Below are 17116 nucleotides of genomic sequence, written 5' to 3' on the forward strand. Positions count from 1 at the left end.
GCCAGGCCTGTCCGCAGGTCTGTGTAGCTGGCCCAGGTGGCTGGCGGCCAGGCCAGGGCTGGCCTATGGGTGTCTGGCCCGGCTGGCCACCGGCCACCTTTCTCCCACTGGCCTTGGCCACAGCCCCACAGCTGGCGCGACGCTGCGACCTTTCCCCTACTTCCAGCTCTGGCCTCCAGATCATTCCAGGCCCCTGAAGTTTACATGAGTCACATGTCGCTGGCAGACTCCCACCCCGTTCCCTCTTCTTGCTCTGGGTTTAACGGGCCACACTGGAGAGCAGGCATGGGGCCTTGTGCCCCTGAGCAGGGCCAGGTGTGGGACCAGAGCCTTCGTCGTGCCCAAGGCCTGCAGGCCTCAGAAACCCCAGCCCCACACCATGCCGGTGCTCCCAGCTTTCCCTGAATGTCATTCGTCATGAGGGCTGAGGTTCAAGGACCCACTTACTCTGGTGGCCACTTACTCTAGAGGCCTGAGTACGCCAGGCTGTGAAGCTCTGCCAAGTACCTGGGAATCTATATCCATGCGGGGCACCATCTCAAACTGCATGAGTCAGGTGGGCAGGCGTGCATATGGGCGAGTCAGGTGGGCAGGCGTGCGTATGGGCGGGTCAGGTGGACAGGCATGTGTATGGGCAGGTCAGGTGGCCAGGCGTGCGTATGGGCGAGTGAGGTGGGCAGGCAAGTGAGGTGGGCAGGCGTGCATGTGGGCGAGTCAGGTGGGCAGGCGTGGGTGTGGGCGAGTCTGGACAGGCGTGCATACGGGCGGGTCAGGTGGGCAGGCGTTTGTATGGGCGGGTCAGGTGGGCAGACGTGTGTATGGTCGGTTTAGGTGGACAGGCTTGAGTATGGGTGTGCGTATGGACGAGTCAGGTGGACAGGCGTGCGTATGGGAGAGTCAGGTGGACAGGCGTGCGTATGGGCGAGTCAGGTGGACAGGCGTGCGTATGGGCAAGTCAGGTGGACAGGATTGCGTATGGGAGAGTCAGGTGGACAGGCGTGCGTATGGGTGTGCGTATGGACGAGTCAGCTGGGCAGGCGTGCGTACAGGCGGGTCAGGTGGGCAGGCGTTTGTATGGGCGGGTCAGGTGGGCAGGCGTTCTTATGGTCGGGTCAGGTGGGCAGGCGTGCATATGGTCGGGTCAGGTGGACAGGCATGTGTATGGGTGTGCGTATGGACGAGTCAGGTGGACAGGCGTGCGTATGGGAGAGTCAGGTGGACAGGCGTGCGTATGGGAGAGTCAGGTGGACAGGCGTGCGTATGAGCGAGTCAGGTGGACAGGCATGCATATGGGAGAGTCAGGTGGACAGGCCTGCGTATGAGCAAGTCAGGTGGACAGGCGTGCCTATGGGTGTGCGTATGGGTGAGTCAGGTGGGCAGGCGTGCATATGGGTGGGTCAGGTGGGCAGGCGTGCGTACGGGCGGGCCAGGTGGGCAGGCATTTGTATGGGCCGGTCAGGTGGGCAGGCGTTCTTATGGTCGGGTCAGGTGGGCAGGTGTGTGTATGAGCGAGTCAGGTGGGCAGACATGCATACGGGCGGGTCAGGTGGACAGGCGTGTGTACGGGCGGGTCAGGTGGACAGTATTGGCGTGCGTACGGGCGGGTCAGATGGACAGGATCGCGTACGGGCGGGTCAGGTGGACAGTATTGGCGTGCATACGGGCAGGTCAGATGGACAGGATCGCGTACAGGCGGGTCAGGTGGACAGGCATGCGTACAGGCGGGTCAGGTGGACAGGCGTGCGTACAGGCGGGTCAGGTGGACAGGCGTGCGTACAGGCGGGTCAGGTGGGCAGGCATGTGTGTGGGAGAGTCAGGTGGACAGGATTGAGTACGGGCCGGTCAGGTGGACAGGATTGCGTACGGGCGGGTCAGGTGAGCAGGCGTGCGTACTGGCGGGTCAGGTGGACAGGATTGCGTACGGGCGGGTCAGGTGGACAGGATTGCGTACGGGCGGGTCAGGTGGGCAGGCGTGCCTATGGTCGGGTCAGGTGGGCAGGCATGCGTATGGGTGAGTCAGGTGGACAGGATTGCTTATGGGCGGGTCAGGTGGACAGGCGTGCGTATGGGCGAGTCAGGTGGGCAGGCGTGCGTACGAGCGGGTCAGGTGGACAGGCATGCGTATGGGCGGGTCAGGTGGGCAGGCGTGCGTACGAGCGAGTCAGGTGGACAGGCGTGCGTATGGGCGGGTCAGGTGGGCAGGCGTGCGTATGAGCGGGTCAGGTGGGCAGGCGTGCGTATGGGCGGGTCAGGTGGGCAGGCGTGCATATGGGTGGGTCAGGTGGACAGGTGTGCGTATGAGTGTGCGTATGGGCGAGTCAGGTGGGCAGACGTGCATATGAGTGTGCATATGGGTGATTCAGGTGGACACGCGTGGGTATGGGTGGCTCACGTGGACAGGCGTGCGTGTCAGCGTGTCACGTGGACAGGCGTGTGTGTGGGCGGGTCAGGTGGGCAGGCGTGTGTATGGGCGGGTCAGGTGGGCAGGCGTGCATATGGGCGGGTCAGGTGGGCAGGCATGCCTATGGGTGTGCGTATGGGCGAGTCAGGTGGGCAGGCGTGCCTATGGGTGAGTCAGGTGGGCAGGCGTGTGTATGGGTGTGCATATGGGCGAGTCAGGTGGACAGGCATGCGTATGGGCGGGTCAGGTGGACAGGCATGTGTATGGGCGGGTCAGGTGGACAGACGTGCGTATGGGTGAGTCAGGTGGGCAGACGTGCGTATGGGTGAGTCAGGTGGACAGGATTGCGTATGGGCGGATCAGGTGGACAGGCGTGCGTATGGGCGAGTCAGGTGGACAGGATTGCGTATGGTCGGGTCAGGTGGGCAGGCGTGTGTATGGGCAGGTCAGGTGGACAGGACTGAATATGGGGGGGTCAGGTGGGCAGGCGTGCGTATGGTCGGGTCATGTGGGCAGGCGTGCTTATGGGCAGGTCAGGTGGGCAGGTGTGCATGTGGGAGAGTCAGGTGGACAGGATTGAATATGGGCGGGTCAGGTGCGCAGACATGCGTATGGCCGGGTCACGTGGGCAGGCGTGCGTTTGGGCGGGTCAGGTGGGCAGGGGTGCATATGGGCGGGTCAGGTGGACAGGCGCACGTATGGGTGAGTAAGATGGACAGGCATGTGTGTGGGAGAGTCAGGTGAACAGGATTGCTTATGGGCTAGTCAGGTGGACAGGTGTGCGTATGGGTGTGCCTATGGGAGAGTCAGGTGGACAGGATTGCGTATAGCCGGATCAGGTGGGCAGGCATGCGTATGAGCGAGTCAGGTGGGCAGACATGCGTATGGGCGGGTCAGGTGGACAGGCGTGTGTATAGGCAGGTCAGGTGGACAGGCGTGCATATGGGTATGTGTATGGGCGGGTCAGGTGGGCAGGCGTGCATACGGGCGGGTCAGGTGGACAGGCGTGCATACGGGCGGGTCAGGTGGGCAGGCGTTTGTATGGGCGGGTCAGGTGGGCAGGAGTTCTTATGGTCGGGTCAGGTGGGCAGGCGTGCATATGGTCGGTTTAGGTGGACAGGCGTGTGTATGGGTGTGCGTATGGACGAGTCAGGTGGGCAGGCATCCTACAGGCGGGTCAGGTGGGCAGGCGTTTGTATGGGTGGGTCAGGTGGGCAGGTGTTCTTATGGTCGGGTCAGGTGGGCAGACGTGCATATGGTCGGGTCAGGTGGACAGGCATGTGTATGGGTGTGCGTATGGACGAGTCAGGTGGACAGGCGTGCGTATGGGAGAGTCAGGTGGACAGGCATGTGTATGGGCGAGTCAGGTGGACACGCGTGCGTATGGGCAAGTCAGGTGGGCAGGCATGCGTATGGGAGAGTCAGGTGGACAGCCCTGCGTATGAGCGAGTCAGGTGGACAGGATTGCGTATGGGCAAGTCAGGTGGACAGGCGTGCGTATGAGTGAGTCAGGTGGACAGGATTGCGTATGGGAGAGTCAGGTGGACAGCCCTGCGTATGAGCGAGTCAGGTGGACAGGATTGCTTATGGGCAAGTCAGGTGGACAGGCGTGCGTATGAGCGAGTCAGGTGGACAGGATTGCGTATGGGAGAGTCAGGTGGACAGGCGTGCATATGAGCGAGTCAGGTGGACAGGCATGCGTATGGGAGAGTCAGGTGGACAGGCATGCATATGAGCGAGTCAGGTGGACAGGCGTGCGTATGGGTGTGCATATGGGTGAGTCAGGTGGGCAGGCGTGCATACGGGCGGGTCAGGTGGGCAGGCGTTTGTGTGGGCCGGTCAGGTGGGCAGGTGTTCTTATGGTCGGGTCAGGTGGACAGGCATGTGTATGGGTGTGCGTATGGACGAGTCAGGTGGGCAGGCGTGCGTATGGGAGAGTTAGGTGGACAGGTGTGCGTATGGGTGAGTCAGGTGGACAGGCGTGCATATGGGTGTGCGTACGGGCGAGTCAGGTGGGCAGGCGTGCATATGGGTGTGTGTATGGGTGAGTCAGGTGGGCAGGCATGCGTATGAGCGAGTCAGGCGGGCAGGCGTGCGTATGGGTGAGTCAGGTGGGCAGGAGTGCATATGGGTGTGCGTATGGGTGAGTCAGGTGGGCAGGCATGCGTATGAGCGAGTCAGGTGGGCAGGCGTGCGTATGGGTGAGTCAGGTGGGCAGGAGTGCATATGGGTGTGCGTATGGGCGAGTCAGGTGGGCAGGCGTGCGTGTGGGCGAGTCAGGTGGGCAGGCATGCATACGGGCGGGTCAGGTGGGCAGGCTTTCTTATGGTCGGGTCAGGTGGGCAGGCATGCGTACGGGCAGGTCAGGTGGGCAGGCGTGCATACGGGCAGGTCAGGTGTGCAGGTGTTTGTATGGGCGGGTCAGGTGGGCAGGCGTTCGTATGGTCAGGTCAGGTGGGCAGGTGTTCCTATGGTCAGGTCAGGTGGACAGGCGTGCGTATGGGTGTGCATATGGGCGAGTCAGGTGGACAGGCGTGCGTATGGGTGTGTGTATGGGTGAGTCAGGTGGACAGGATTGCGTATGGATGAGTCAGGTGGACAGGCGTGTGTATGGGTGTGTGTATGGGTGAGTCAGGTGGGCAGGCGTGCGTATGGGCGAGTTAGGTGGACAGGCATGTGTATGGACGAGTCAGATGGGCAGGTGTGCGTATGGGTGTGCGTATGGGCGAGTCAGGTGGACAGGATTGCGTATGATCGGGTCAGGTGGGCAGGCATGTGTATGGGCAGGTCAGGTGGACAGGATTGAATATGGGGGGGTCAGGTGGGCAGGCGTGCGTATGGTCGGGTCATGTGGGCAGGCGTGCTTATGGGCGGGTCTGGTGGACAGGATTGCGTACGGGCGGGTCAGGTGGGCAGGCGTGCGTATGGGCGAGTCAGGTGGACAGGATTGCTTATGGGCGGGTCAGGTGGACAGGCGTGCGTATGGGCGGGTCAGGTGGGCAGGCGTGCGTACGAGTGAGTCAGGTGGACAGGCGTGCGTATGGGCGGGTCAGGTGGGCAGGCGTGCGTATGGGCGGGTCAGGTGGGCAGGCGTGCATATGGGTGGGTCAGGTGGACAGGATTGGGTATGGGTGAGTCAGGTGGACAGGCGTGCGTATGAGCGGGTCAGGTGAGCAGGCATGCGTATGGGCGGGTCAGGTGGGCAGGCGTGCATATGGGTGGGTCAGGTGGACAGGTGTGCGTATGAGTGTGCGTATGGGCGAGTCAGGTGGGCAGACGTGCATATGGGTGTGCATATGGGTGATTCAGGTGGACAGGCGTGCGTATGGGCGGCTCACGTGGACAGGCGTGCGTGTCAGCGTGTCACGTGGACAGGCGTGTGTGTGGGCGGGTCAGGTGGGCAGGCGTGTGTATGGGCGGGTCAGGTGGGCAGGCGTGCGTATGGGCGGGTCAGGTGGGCAGGCATGCCTATGGGTGTGCGTATGGGCGAGACAGGTGGGCAGGCGTGCCTATGGGTGAGTCAGGTGGGCAGGCGTGTGTATGGGTGTGCATATGGGCGAGTCAGGTGGACAGGCATGCGTATGGGTGGGTCAGGTGGACAGACGTGCGTATGGGTGAGTCAGGTGGGCAGACGTGCGTATGGGTGGGTCAGGTGGGCAGGCGTGCGTATGGGTGAGTCAGGTGGACAGGTGTGCGTATGGGTGAGTCAGGTGGACAGGCGTGCGTATGGCTGTGCGTTTGGGCGAGTCAGGTGGGCAGACGTGCGTATGGGCAGTCAGGTGGACAGGCGTGTGTATGGGTGAGTCAGGTGGACCACTGTGTGTACGGGCGAGTCAGGTGGACCGGCGTGCATATGGGCAGGTCAGGTGGGTAGGCGTGTGTATGGATGTGCATATGGGCGGGTCAGGTGGACAGGTGTGTATATGGGTGTACATGTGTGCACAGGTGCTACTTTACTCTGTGTTCAACACGTGTTCGTGGACGTGCTCCAGGCCCAAGGCGAAGGAATAGGATGTAGCAGGGGCAGGGTCTCCGCCCCATACTCAGAGTCCTTGGGCTCCGGGAAGACACAACCGATAAGTGGTTACGGGGATGCCTGGGAGCTACGGGCACACACAGACCCTCCTGGGCCCAGCATAAGGGCCAGGGAAGACTTCCTGGAGTCCAAGTGGAAGCTGCAGGGTGAGTAGGAGGAGGGAGGGTGGGTGTCAATGTTCTAGGAGTCAGGGGCGCACAGAGTCCAGAGCAGGCACTCCAAGCATGGGATGGCTACTCTGGGGATCGCTCGAGCCGCTTGAGCATAGAGCTTATGGAGATGAGGTGGGAGGAGTGAAACCAACTTTAAATTCCCACAGCTCTGCTGGGACTGCTGGGTCCGGCCATAAGACGGTGACAGATAGCAGACTTACCTTTCCCCCATAAACAACTAGAAAACTAGACAAATTATATGAAGCAACTGTTTTTAAGCATAGGTGCCATGGCAGGGCTGTGACCCTAGAGAAGGACACACATGAGGGAGTTCCAGCTTCACCCTGGCTCTCTGCCCGGAGGTGTTTGGGGCATTTTCTGAACACAGCACAGGGAAGTAGAGCTCAGAGAGTGGTGATGGCATGGGCCGGAGCAGGCAGAGACTGGAGTTCAGGACCACCGAGGGGACTGGAACTTGTGGGGTTCCAGAGAGGAGCGGGTTGAGCAGGGAAGGAGCTTCAGACGTTTGCAGAGGAGCTCTCTTGAGTCTTTGAGTGAATACTAAACTGCACGTGCACAGGATGAGACGGCAAAGTCTGGCAGAGGAGAGCTGCTGGGAGCTGGGAGCAGAAGGGGGTGCCAGAGGATGCACGGGCACAGAGACCTTGGAGTTCTGGGCAGCCAGAGTGAAGAGACCACACCGAATATGCCAGACATTCAGCCAAGACCTCAGAAAAACCACCCTTTTTTAAAAAAGTTAGATTTATTCAGGTATCATTTACATACAGTGAAATTCTCCATTTTTAGGTGTACAACTCTATGACACATGCATACAGTCATGTAATCACCACCACAATCAAGATAGAAAACATTTCTACTGCCCAATGTTCTCTGTGCCCTTTGGTCATCCTTTCCTCCCTCCACTCCAGCCCCTGGTAACCACTGCCCTGATCTCTGTCCTTTTGAAAAGCACATGCCTCAGGTGTACTACACTAACCCTGGGGTAACGGCTGCTCTAGACCTGTCCCAACGAGCCCACAAACAAGCCTTGAGGAGCAAAACATCTACCAATAATTTAACTCATTGCCAAAACAAAATTCACTAATCTTTGAAAGAAAACAACAAAATTCAGATTCCCAACAATGTTGTATCATAATGTCCAGCATCCAATCAAAAATTATTAGACATGTAATAAAGCAAGAAAATTTGAGTCGTAACTGGAGAAAAACTAGCCCATAAGAAACCCTGTTGAAGCCGGGCATGGTGGTTCACCCTTGTAATCCCAGCACTTTGGGAGACCGAGGTGGGTGGATCACCTGATGTTAGGAGTTCAAGAACAGCCTGGCCAACATGGTAATACCCCATCTCTACTAAAAATACAAAAATCACCCGGGCATGGTGGTGTGTGCCTATAATCCCAGCTACTCGGGAGGCTGAGGCACGAGAATCGTTTGAACCAGGGAGGCGGAGGTTGCAGTGAGCTGAGATTGCGCCACTGCACTCCAGCCTGGGTGACAGAGTGACTCTCCTTCTCAAAAAAAGAAGCCCTGTTGAATTCATGGGACAAAGACAAGGTGTCTTTTGTCATTGAGTATTTTCCACTGATAGATGGTATAGCTACCACGAAAAAATATTAACATTAAAAGGAGTCTTCAAAAGTAAAAGAGAACCACGGGTATAGGAGCCAGCCAGAACCCAAGTGCACATCTAGATGGCCAATAGGTGCACAGTGTGGGCAGGCCTGGAGTTAAACACTAGGACCCAAACATGTGCACAGCCATATCACTAAGGGGTTCAGCTGGGTGAAGACACAGACATATGAGCACAGCACAGAGGGTAGATGCCACAAGAGAGGCACAAATGTCCCAGGCATCAAAGAGTGACAGATCACTTCTGCCTAGAGGAACTGTAAAAGACTTCATGAAGGAAAAATTTTTTTGAGACAGTCTCACTCTGTCACTCAGGCTGGAGTGCAGTGGTGTGATCTTGGCTCACTGCAACCTCCACCTCCCGGGTTCAAGCAAGTCTCCTGCCTTAGCCTCCCAAGTAGTTGGGACTAAAGACACATGCCATCACACCTGACTAATTTTTGTATTTTTGGTAGAGACAGGGTTTTACCATGTTGGCCAGGCTGGTCTCAAACTCCTGACCTCAGATGATCTGCCCGCCTCAACCTCCCAAAGTGCTGGGATTACAGGCATGAGCCACTGTGCCTGGCCAGCAAATTTCTTTGCACTGGGCTTTTAAAGATGATTGAGAAACAAAATAATTTTAAAATCACCTCTAAAGTCATTTATTACCCAAATGTGATCGCTGTTGGTATTCTGGTAAATTCCTTCTCTCTGAATTATCTTATTTTTTCCCAAGTGGAGCTCCATCTCCTCAATTCTGTTTTGCATTTTTCAGTTAATGTTATTTCAAAAACCATTTTATGAAAATTCTTTGTAGCAGCTATTTTTAACAGCTGTGAAATATTAACTGTCTGTGACATAATCCAATTAACTGATTCTCTGTTGTTGGGCATTTAGGTTATTTTCAAGTTCTAACTAATCCTGCAATAAGCATCTTGTTCTCCCTTGTTCTGGTTACTCTCTTAAGTTAGATTCCCAGAAATGGGATAATTGTTTCCGAAGATATTTGGGAACATCTGGGAAGTTCCTGATCTGTATTGCCAAATGACTTTTCTAGAAGGTTGTACAAATTTACATTCCCGCTACACGTACTCTCTTATGTTGTAATACATGTTTACATGCCTTTTCCCCCACAAATTATGCCCTATCCACCTTCCTGTCCCCGGTGCCTGCACAGGCAGCTGCCCAGCAGCGTCCCTTGCATCACACATGCCCATACTTGCACCATACGTGACCGTACTTTCACAGAGGAGAAGGAATATCCAGGGTCAGGGGGAACATCCCTGACAGACACTCCTGGAACCAAGACGTGGACAAGTGTGGATGGACACTTGGGTCTCTGAACTCTTTCTAGAACACCTGGCATGGAGATGAGATGGCCATCAGAGACCTGTCAGTTCTGTTTTCTCGCTTGGCGGCAGGGAAGCTGAGATCTAGGTGGGGCAAGTGGGTTCCACACGGCACAGTTCGTCCATGTCAGTGCAGTGGCTGCTTCTCGGGGTACGGCCAAGCCGGGGTCTTGCAGCCTCAGCTCCCAGCAGGACCCGCCCAGCCAGGGTCCTCAACCCTAGGCTGACATCTTGGCCTCACTGGCGTCACAGCTCAGCCCTCACCCTGCGACTCTGTGCACGTGGGGAGTGGGGAGATAAGAGCTAGAGGCAGACCTCCTAAGAGGAAGGAAAACGATGTGGACTTGGGGGAGGAAGGATCTGCCTTCCCTTTCTTCAGCGAGAGCTTCCTCTTCTCATAATACAGGGAGGACCTCAAGATGGCTGTCTCCCCCTTTAGAGATGCTGTGTCCCAGCAAAGGGGCACCTAGAACAGGAATTCTCAACCTCCCAGGACAACGGGTGGCCGCTGAGAACCCGGGAGACCTGGGGCAAGCGTCTCAGGCTTTCCTCAGCTGCTCCACCTGGAAACCGGGACGGGCAGGACCGCCTCTCGAGGCTGCTGTGAGCGTCCAGTTAGACCACGTGGGTGGGCGAGGGGCTTGTGCCTTGCCCCAAGGGGAAGCTCAACACACACCTTTATATAGGACACATTCAAGGAGGCCAAGTTCACCAGGCCACACTGCGGGGCCTATTTTTTGGGGGGGCGGGGGTGTTGGGGGACAGGGTCTCACTCTGTCACTCAAGCTGGAGTGCAGCGGTGCAATCATAGCTCACTACAGCCCCAACCTCCTGGGCTCAAGCAATCCTCCCACCTCCTGAGTAGCTGGGACTGCAGGCATGCCCCACCATGCTTGGCTAATTTTTTAATTTTTTGTAGAGACAGGCTGTCATCGCTATGTTGCCAGGCTGGTCTCAAACTCCTGGCCTCGAGTGGTCCTCCAACCTTGGCCTCCTTAAATCCTGGGATTCCAGGGATGAGCCAGCCCACCCAGCTGGAAGACTGCTGCCTTGATGGGCCCCAGTGAATCCCCTGCTATTGATGATCTTCTGTAGTTCCCTCCCACACCAGATCTGGACAGGCCTTGAGACCCATTTGGCGGATAGAATGTGGGGGAGGCCTGGCAGCTTCCTGGTCTCTGGGAAGCTGCCACGCTGTGGAGAGCTCAGGCCATCCTACTGGAGGGAAAAGCCATGCACGCAGCTGCAAGAGTGACCTTCCTCAATACCACATGCAGCAGCAGAACCACCCCAGTGACACGCACACTCGTGAGGAGGAATCAATCACCGTCATCTTAAGCCACTAAGTTTTTTTTTTTTTGAGACAGAGTCTCGCTCTGTCACCCAGGCTGGAGTGCAGTGGCGCGATCTCGGCTCACTGCAACCTCCGCCTCCTGGGTTCAAACCATTCTTCTGCCTCAGCCTCCCAGGTAGCTGGGATTACAGGCACCCACCACCACAAGCCTGGCTAATTTTTGTATTTTTGGTAGAGATGGAGTTTCACCATGTTGGCCAGGCTAGTCTCGAACTCCTGACCTCAGGCCATCCACCCGCCTCAGCTTCCCAAAGTGCTGGGATTATAGGCGTGAGCCACTGCACCCGGCTAAGCCACTAAGTTTTGAGGTGGGCTGTTACTTAGTAATGGATACCTGAACCCGGCTGGGTGCGGTGGCTCACACCTGTAATCCCAGCACTTTGGGAGGCCAAGGCAGGTGGATCATGAGGTCAGAAGATCAAGACCATCCTGGCTAACCCCGTCTCTACTAAAAAGACAGAAAATTAGCTGGGCGTGGTGGCGGACGCCTGTAGTCCCAGCTACTTGTGAGGCTGAGGCAGGAAAATGGTGTGAACCCAGGAGGCAGAGCTTGTAGTGAGCCGAGATCGTGCCACTGCAGTCCAGCCTGGGGACAGAGCGAGACTCTGTCTCAAAAAAAAAAAAAAAAAATAGATACCTGAACCTCCCTCCTCCCCAACCTCCCTCCTCCCCATCCCAGCTTTATCCTCTGGGGCTTCTCCTGTGGTGTGCAGGTAAATGTTTAACAAGCAGCTCTCGCAGGGGATTGAGGGGAGCTCATGTGAAGTGTTCGTCAACATCTGTGGTGTAAATATTCTCATCATGGCTGATTTCAAGCTACCAACATGACATGGCTGAACACGAGATTGAGAAGAAATGTGCACCATCTGTCCAGGAGCGGGCGAGCTGGATCCAGCACACCTGGATTCTCCTCCCCTGACACGTGACAACCCTGCAGAGACTTGAGATCAGCCGCTCAGATTAGGTGATCAGAAGCATTTTGTCACGGAGACACGGAGTTCTGGGCCGGCTCTTATCTTCAGGGCATCTGGTAGGGTGGAAAGCACTTCAAGTCATGCGCCAAGCCCACGTCCTATTCCCTGGGCCCATTCCCTTCCGTTGAAGTGCTGGAGGCAGAGCTCGCAGCTGAAGACCTACAGGCGGCTCTCCCTCGTGTCTGGGCATGAGCGGTCTGTGGAGGCAGCAGCCAGGCTGTGTCCAGGTAGCCCTGACGGCCACTGCACAAGAGCAGTGTCGGGTAGAGTCCGAGCACCCATCAGCTCAGCCCCAGGCTCCATCAGAGGCGGTGGAACGGGCCCTGAGGATGCCTCAGTCCTGGGCCTTAGTGGGAGGCCTTCCAGGTGAAGCCCTGGGGACCAGGTAGCCCTGCTCAGCAAGCAGCCCTGGACCCTACCTCAGCAGCCCCGGACCCCACCTCGGCCGCCGCAGGAAGCCAAGGGGATGAGGGACCAACTCGGGAAATGGTGGGTGAGGCTGGTGGCTCCTGGAAACGCCGGTCACCAGGGCGGCAGCACCGGTCCTCACCCCTCCCTGCCAGGACTTCAGCAGCTCTCAGCCCCTAAGCATGATAGTTTCTTGGGTCAACCAAATAGTCATCTAGGGGTTACTGTGAAGGTGTTCTGTAAGTATGTCACATCTGCAGTCAGCTGACTGGAGTGAAAGGCCATTACTCTCAATCATGTGGCGGGGGTAGGGGTGGGAAGCCTTGTGCAACCAGTGAAATGCCTTGAGAGCAGAGCTGGGGTTTCCCTGAGGACAGAGAGATTTTACCTGTGGACTATAGCATCGCCTACTGCCCGAGAGGCCCAGGTGCCGCCTGCCCTATGGATTTCCACCTTGCTCAGCCAGCCCCCACCTTGTCTGAGCCAATTTTTCACAATAAATCTCTCCCTCCCTCCCTTCCTTTCTCTGTCTCATCCCCTCCATGTATATGTAATATCTCTTATGTGTCTCATAGAGAGATTTATTGCAAGGAATTGGCTATACAACACACGTACATGCATATCCACGTGTAAACATGTGCACACACACATACACACACACCACACACACCACACCCCTATCCTGCAGGTTCCTTTCTCTGCTGGGACCCTGCTTGCTTCACCAGGGGTGCTGAGCCCCTGTGTCACCAGTGGAGGTCTCAGCAGCACAAGTCCCCAGGCACAGCCCCTCAGCGCCCTGCCCTCAGCCGTGGCTCCAGGGGTGAAGTAGGACCTCAGGGTGTAAAGGCCAGTGCCACGGTTCTTATGGGGTGTGCTGCGGGAACCCTTATCTTCATGATCATGTGAACTGTGCCCCCAGTCCTTTCTGTTTCCTTGAGGGAGGCCTTGGCTTCTGGAGCCCAGAGTCAGAAAGTGCCCGGACCTCCTGTGCAGGCTGCCCCACCTGGCTCTCCCTGGCTGTGGGTCCAGGACCTCCATCCTGAGTTGGGGCAGGGAGGCTTGAGACTTGGGGAGGAGAGGGGAGATGCTGGGAGCTGGAAGAGCGTGTGCCCCCAAAACCAGCTCCTGGGGCCTGTGGGCTGTGGCCCGGGAGGAAGGGCAGAAGGCTCGGGAAGGCTGGAGTGGTCCTGCAGCAGAGTTATGGGGACACCAACTGGCTGGTTTTGGGGCAGATAGATGGGACATAGGGGTGAAGTGGCAGCAAGGGGTACCTCTTTCCATCCTAACATCTCGGCGGATGCTGAGAGGGTGTGGCTTTGAATTTCAAGAGCCCTGATGGTGAGACCCCAGCAAAGGTCTCATTGGGATCGGGGTTCTAAGGCTTAGACACTCGGGCTTCTACAGACTTTGTGACCTTGGTTGCCTGGTCCCAGGGTCCCCCACCGTGAAAGGGAGGACTCTTCCAGGCCCGGCTCTGTCCCTGGGTATCGAGACACAGGGTCTGGGTGAGGACCTCAGAGCCAGGCACTCAGTGTAGTCACAGTGTGGGGCTGCTGCTGCTGTTGCTCTATTCTTAAACGTATATTTTATTGTAGTTCTGTTCCCAGGCTGCTGTTGGGCAGTGAACAAACGGCACTGGATTCAGAGTCGGACAAACCTGGGTTCAAGTCCAATCTGCCTCTCAAGCTGTGTAGCCTTTAGCAAGTCACTTCTTCCCCTTGGGCCTCAGTTTCCTCATTTGCCATCTCACCCTTCACAGCACTGATGTTTGGATTAATGCGATGAGGCAGGTGAAAGCACTGTAAATGCCACCCAGGCACGGAGCTTTCATGGGACAGTTGAAACGCAGGTGAAATGAAAGTCAGTGTCCTGTTGTCCTCCGACTTTACATTATTAAAGAGAATTGGGCTGGATGCAGTGGCTCACAGCTATAATCCTAGCACTTTGGGAGGCCGAGGTGGGCAGATCACTTGAGGTCAGGAGTTCGAGACCAGTCTGGCCAATGTGGTGAAACCCTGTCTCTACTACAAATAAAAAATTAGTCGGACGTGATGGTGCATGGCTGTAATCTCAGCTATTCAGAGGCTGAGGCAGGAGAATCCCTTGAACCCGGGAGGCGGAGGTTGCAGTGAGCTGAGAATGAGCCACTGCACTCTAGACTGGGTGACAGAGCGAGACTCCGTCTCGAAAAAAACAAAAAAAAAAAAAGAGAATTGGTATGTGGGTGCACGCACGTGCGCTTGAGTGCACGCATAAACATGACAGGGGTGTCATGGGAACACATATGGGCTGGCTTTGACGTTTGCCATTAAAAACATGATCCCGATGAACAACCCAACAAAAACAAATTGGCAAAAGAATCCATCAGACACTTCACAGAGGAAGATACTGCATACAGAAGGCCAAAACAGCATGCGAAAATCATCGCACTTCATTAGTCATCAGGCAAATACAAATGAAACCCACAATCATAAGCCACTTCGGCCCCCCTAGGACAGTGAAAATGACACCCTGGTGCAGCAACGTCATGTGCTGGGGAGGAGTGGGGCAGCCGAGGCTCTTGCACGCCGCCATCGGGAGTGCAAGATGGTGGAGCTGCTGTGAAACAACACTGTGGTGGCTTCTTCTAAAATTAAGAATGGCCCAGCAATTCCGCGCCTACGTTTTACCCAAGAGAAATGAAAGCACATGTCCACACAAAAACTTGAATGTGAATCTTCATGGCAGCTTTATTCCTAAACATCAAAAACTGGAAGCAACCCAAGTGTGCACAAACAGATGAATGGATAAACAAACGCAGCATCAGGCAGGTAACAATGAGGGTGGCTCATGGGCCCATGGGAGTGTTAGAGGAGCCCCTGCTTACCAGGCCCCTGGTTTAACAAAACAGCCCTAGAGTGAATGCACTGGGCGCAGTGGGTGACGCCTGTAACCCCAGCACATTGGGAGGCCAAGGCAGGAGGATTGCTTGAGCCCAGGAGTTTGAGACCAGCCCTGACAACATAGTGAGACCCCATCTCTATGCACACACAAAAATTAGCCGGGCATGGTGGCATGCACCTGTAGTCCCAGCTACTTGAGAGGCTGAGGTGGGAGGATCGCTTGAGCCTGGACGTTGTATGCCACTGCAATCAAGCCTGGGTGACAGAGCAAGACCCTGATTAAAAGAAAACCCAAAAAACAAAAAAACAACTGTGGTACATCCCTACAGTACTATTCAGCAAAACCACATAAACATAAAACAAGAAAGACAGAATTACTGGTACATCCATCAACATGGATTCATCTCAAAAACATGATGCTGGGCAACGCCGCCCCCCCCCCCCCCAGAAAAAGAATAAACAGACACAGAAGAGTACAAATTGTATAATTCCATTTCTATGAGCTTCTATAATGACAAAAGAGCAGATTTGTGGTTGTCAGTAATTCCAGGGGAGAATTCACTGCAAAGGGGCACAAGAAACAGGATGAAAATGTTCTGGGCCACGTCGGGCGCAGTGGCTCACGCCTGTAATCCCAGCACTTTGGGAGGCCGAGCGGGTGGATCACAAGGTCAGGAGATCGAATCAATCCTGGCTAACACGGTGAAACCCCGTCTCTACTAAAAATACAAAAACAAAATTAGTCAGGCATGGTGGTGGGCGCCTGTAGTCCCAGCTACTCGGGAGGCTGAGGCAGGAGAATGGCGTGAACCCAGGAGGCGGAGCTTGCAGTGAGCCGAGATTGCACTACTGCACTCCAGCCTGGGCGACAGAGCAAGACCCCGTCTCAAAAAAAAAAAAAGAAAAAGGAAAGTGTTCTGGGCCATGAATATGGTGGCAGTGTCACAGGTGTGGACAGCTGTCAACACTCATTGAATTGTCCACTCTAATTGAATGTAGCCTCTTGAGCATAAGTTGTATCTTCGTAAAGCTGGTTTTCTAAGCATGATAGCTGAAAGGATGGTGCCAGCCTCCACTCCCTTTCCCAGTGGGAACCATAGCCTTTCCCAAGATGTGCTTATGGTTTCCCAGGGGGGTGCTCCTGTTGCCGGAAAAGAGATTCCCGATCCAGACCCCACGAGAGGATTCTTGGATCTTGCATAGGAAAGAATTCAAGGCAAATCACAGAGCACAGTGAAAGAAGCGAGTTTACTGGAAACGACTCTGTTACAGAGTGGGGCATCCTCGGGAAGAAGGAGGAGGAGTGCACTGTCCTGTGTTGGTGTCGCTGCTTATAAGAAACTCTAAGGAGGCCGGGCGCGGTGGTTCACGCCTGTAATCCCAACACTTTGGGAGGCTGAGGCGGGCGGATCACCTGAGGTCAGGAGTTGAAGACCAGCCTGACCAACACGGTGAAACCCCCTCTCTACTAAAAAAAAAAAAAAAAAAAAAAAAAAATTAGCCGGGCATTGTGGCGCGTGCCTGTAATCCCAGCTACTCGTGAGGCTGAGGCGGGAGAATCACCTGAACCCAGGAGGTGGAGGTTGTGGTGAGCCAAGATTGCACCACTGCACTCCAGCCTGGGCGACAAGAGTGAAAATCTGTCTCAAAAAGAAAAAGAAACTCTAAGGAGTGGTAATGAAACTTGGAATGTGCAGATGTGCTCACTAGAGGCGGGGCTATTGGTGTTATTGATGACCATTAATCCTTCAACCTAAGCTTGCTCATCGATGTTATCTTGAAGGAAAGAGGGCTGTATTCTCCAGACATGTGGGCATTCTGCAGGCGTGGTGGCAGATGATATTTTTGTTGTTTTAATTGGTGGTCGGCTTAGAATGTGGCTATTTTCAGACCTTGAATATTCTTGTGAGTGCCTAGCTACTCACTTCA

At 55.7% G+C, this 17116-nt stretch overlaps 3 annotated features.

Annotated features, from left to right (window-relative positions):
- Nucleotides 1591–2529: an enhancer, noted in NCBI's record as "H3K27ac hESC enhancer chr2:10151718-10152656 (GRCh37/hg19 assembly coordinates)". NCBI's record gives its function as "activates a minimal SCP1, AML or CMV promoter by ChIP-STARR-seq in naive H9 embryonic stem cells {active_cell/tissue: H9 hESC(naive)}" and the evidence as "EXISTENCE:reporter gene assay evidence [ECO:0000049][PMID:30033119]".
- Nucleotides 2530–3467: an enhancer, noted in NCBI's record as "H3K27ac hESC enhancer chr2:10152657-10153594 (GRCh37/hg19 assembly coordinates)". NCBI's record gives its function as "activates a minimal SCP1, AML or CMV promoter by ChIP-STARR-seq in naive H9 embryonic stem cells {active_cell/tissue: H9 hESC(naive)}" and the evidence as "EXISTENCE:reporter gene assay evidence [ECO:0000049][PMID:30033119]".
- Nucleotides 5302–5992: an enhancer, noted in NCBI's record as "H3K27ac-H3K4me1 hESC enhancer chr2:10155429-10156119 (GRCh37/hg19 assembly coordinates)". NCBI's record gives its function as "activates a minimal SCP1, AML or CMV promoter by ChIP-STARR-seq in primed H9 embryonic stem cells {active_cell/tissue: H9 hESC(primed)}" and the evidence as "EXISTENCE:reporter gene assay evidence [ECO:0000049][PMID:30033119]".

The sequence above is a fragment of the Homo sapiens genome, chromosome 2, assembly GCF_000001405.40.
Source record: "Homo sapiens chromosome 2, GRCh38.p14 Primary Assembly".
Lineage (NCBI taxonomy): Eukaryota > Metazoa > Chordata > Mammalia > Primates > Hominidae > Homo > Homo sapiens.